General features: G+C 62.1%; 1 annotated feature.

Moving 5' to 3' along the window:
- Positions 1,841-3,040: an enhancer, noted in NCBI's record as "CDK7 strongly-dependent group 2 enhancer chr1:2824551-2825750 (GRCh37/hg19 assembly coordinates)". NCBI's record gives its function as "activates an origin of replication core promoter dependent on BRD2, BRD4, P300/CBP, MED14 and CDK7 cofactors, with strong dependence on CDK7, by STARR-seq in HCT116 cells {active_cell/tissue: HCT116}" and the evidence as "EXISTENCE:reporter gene assay evidence [ECO:0000049][PMID:35650434]".

The following is a 3,555-nucleotide window of genomic DNA, read 5'->3' as shown; positions in this document are numbered from 1 at the left end:
GCGGGCCTGGCCCTGGGGGCTCAGAACTGCCATGGGGACCCTGGCCCACTGCACCCCACCACCCCTCAGGCCTCCAGACAAGATGCTTGGAGACCCACGTCAGAGGCTCCAGGTAGGCACGGCCCCTGCAGCTGCCAAATACTGCCACTGCCTAGAACACTGACCCCCAGGTGGGTGGGCGCCAGAGTACCCCAGGTCCAGAACTCTCAGGAGGAGACAGCGATGTGGCCTACTGAATACGTCACCGACTCAACTCACCGAGAGAGTGCCCCTTGGGCCAGGGTCCCTGGGACCCAGGGAGGACACCCCCACCCCAAGGGTTTTCTGAGGCCCCTTGAAGGATTAACGGGGCCCAACACAGGGCTTGGGTAGCCTGGGGGCTGTCCATCCCTGACCTGGGCTGATGCTCCTGCACCCCTGTTTCCTAGTGAGGGGCACAGCCTTGCTCCCCGGACAATGGTCGCCCCTGCTGAGCCGCGGCTCACAAAGCCTGCATGGATCAATGGGCCGCATCTCATGGCTTCTCCTCCCTGCGGAAGCCACCTGAGGCCAAGCCGGGCAGGTGCATCGAGCCAAGCTATGCTCTGCTCCCGGAGGCCCCTGAGCCTCCCCATGACCCTCATCCTCCCACTCAGCTAGCTGGTTGGGGGCAGGCAGTGGAGGCCACTCAGCTGAAGGGGCAGGGCCTGACACACGCAGGAGAGGCAGGGCTCAGGGCCAGAGCTGTGTCCTGGACACGGCCAGCCCTTGGGGCAGAGCTGGTGGAGCCAGGAAGGTGTCATGGGCAGTTTCTTGGCCTCTGCCTTGTGCCACTTGCTGAGGTCCCAACACAGGGAGGCCGGGTGATGGACGTCACAAACCCCCAGTGTGCCCCATCCTGCTGTAGCCCTGGGGAGGTCCCTGCACTCACGTGCCTCCTGCACTCACAGGCACCCTGAACTCATGGGCCCCCTTCACTCATGGGCCTCCTGCACTCACGGGCCCCCTGCACTCACAGGTCCCCCGCACTCAAGGCCCCCTCGCACTCACGGGCCCCCCACACTCACGGGACCCCTGCACTCACGGGCCCCCTGCACTCACAGGCCTCCTGCACTCACGAGTCCCCCGCACTCATGGGCCCCCGCACTCATGGGCCCCCCACACTCACGGGCCCCCCACACTCATGGGCCCCCTGCACTCACGGACCTCCTGCACTCACAGGCTCTGTCCTCCAAAGCCTCTCCAAGGGTGTTGCCCGCAGACCAAACCATTGACCCCGACCCCATGCTTGCACCGTATGGGACTCTTCCAGTTGCAGTTGCAGAACACAGCTCAGAGCAGCTCACACAGAAAAGTCACCGCACAGCCAAACGGGACATCCAGGGATACAGCTGGCTTCCGGCTCCGCAGGATCCAGGGCCCGGACCATGGGTGGGCACGGTCTCACTCGCCACATTTTGAGTGAGCATGGCTGGGCGGCAAAGCACCCAGGACTTCTTAATAACTTGAAAGAGCAGCAGCATCACCTCTCACAAGGAAGGTGAGGAACACCCCAGGTGGACTCTGATGGGCCAAGTTCAAGCTGTGTGACCACCTTCCGCCCCTCACTGAGGTCTGGGAGGCTGGGCTGGACCTGAGTGCGTGCCCACTCTTGGAGGTGGGGTTCTGGTCAAGCCCCACTTGACCCTTTGGGCAAAGGATGGGGGTGATTTGCTGCCAGAGACATTGACAACAAAAAGCTGACTCCTGGTGCCATGCGCAGGCTTAGATCCTGGGCAGGGCTGCCCAGCCCCTGGGCGCCTGGATGCCACACACCCTTGACGCTGCCATGTCCCCAGGCATCAGCCTGCCCCCGTGGGACCCCCAGCTTAATGGAGATGCAGGCCATAAAGAAGTGAGTATGTGAGTAAACAAACAAGTATCAAGTCACAGGGGTCCGCATATCCTAGCCAGTGTCACACCCGGCTCTATGGAGCTCAAAGGGCGTGATCAGGAAACTCCTCTCTGAGCTTCCCCTTGGAAGCCAGAGCTGGGTGGGTGAGTAGAGCCCCACCTGCCCCAGGTTCTCTGACCTGGAAAATCCCCAAGCTCAACCTAACTCCACGACCTGAGCCTTGACTTCCAGGGGCCGGAGCATATGGCACGCCAAGGTCCCCTGACAGTGGCAAAACCCTCTTCTGGACAAAGCCAGGATCCGGCAGGGCCCAGGCTCGGAGGCCCCAGTTGGCGCCAGGACTTGCTAAGACGGATTTTCAGGCCAGAACCACGTGCTGGTCTGTGAGCCGGGCCCCAGGTAGGCGCACATGGGCCCTGGTGGTACAGCTGGACTTTGCTCTGCCTGGTTGATGCCCACTCCTAGGCCAGGGTCCAGGCAGGAGACACCCAGGGCAACCACGAACAGCAGAAGCAACCTCAGGGCCACGTGGCAGCCTCACTGTGCGGAGCATGGAGCCACACGTGGTGTAGGCACAGTACAGAGGCGTGGCCTAAGGTCAGAGGTGTCCCCAAGCTACAAGGCTCATGGGGGAAGGGGGCACTGTCTGACCCAGACCTGCTGGAGCCAGCACTGGTTTTCTGAGCTGCGCACTTGCTCTGCCTGGATGTGCTCACACACGGCCCTTCTCTAGGTCAGACAGTCCAGGAACAGCACAGGGCAAGTGACGGGATCCAGGACATAGGCTGTGCCGGCCAGCGTCTCTCCCAAACGCCCGGGGATACTGTGCTGGGTGCAGCGGGCGATCGTGGCAGTGAGGTCCCCTCTGCTTGGCTTGGCCCAGGACTTCCGTCGGGTCTCCCAGGCACTGCTTCCTGCAGCTTCTCAGAGCACATCGCACAGACTCTCTGGCCTGGCCCGCTGCTGACCCCAGGGTGGGACACAGCAGGGCGGGGAGGGAGCTGGGGGCAGGAATATTGCTGTGGGGGTCCTGCAGACTGAAGCCCAAGGTCACGGTGGCAGCAGAGCTGGTTCTTCCCCAAGCCTCTCTCCTGGGCTTGTGGATACCGTCTCCTCCCGGTGTCCCCACAGGGCCATCGCCCTGTGTGTCTGGGTCTGAATCTCCTCTCCTTAGAAGGCACCAGTGACACTGGACGAGGGCCCACCCTAACCTCACTCACCAGAGGGCTCACCCTAACCTCGCTCACCGGAGGGCCCACCCTAACCTCGCTCACCGGAGGGCCCACCCTAACCTCGCTCACCAGAGGGCCCACCCTAACCTCGCTCACCAGAGGGCCCACCCTAAACTCACTCACCACTTTAAAGGCCCTGTCTCCAAACAGAGTTACAGTCTGAGGTCCAGGGATCAGGACTTTAACACAGGAATTTGCAGCCAACACTTTCTTCTCCTCAAACCTCCATCTCCCCTCTGAGCATCTGGCATTTAATCACGGGTGAGGCCCCTCATGTGGTCCCAGGTGAGTGGAGAGCCGGGACAGTGAGGGCCCAGCCTGTAACTGACAGGTGCCCACTCCAAGCCGAGCCCATGACCGCGCTCATAGGAGTTGGGGGAGTTTGACTCTAATTCCTCTGCCACTTCATCATCTATGCAGAGCGTCGCAGCGCATGGGCAGCATGAAATA

The sequence above is a fragment of the Homo sapiens genome, chromosome 1 (assembly GCF_000001405.40).
Source record: "Homo sapiens chromosome 1, GRCh38.p14 Primary Assembly".
NCBI lineage: Eukaryota > Metazoa > Chordata > Mammalia > Primates > Hominidae > Homo > Homo sapiens.
The sequence above is the reverse complement of the archived record's forward strand: the minus strand, read 5'-3'. Positions and strand labels throughout refer to the sequence as shown.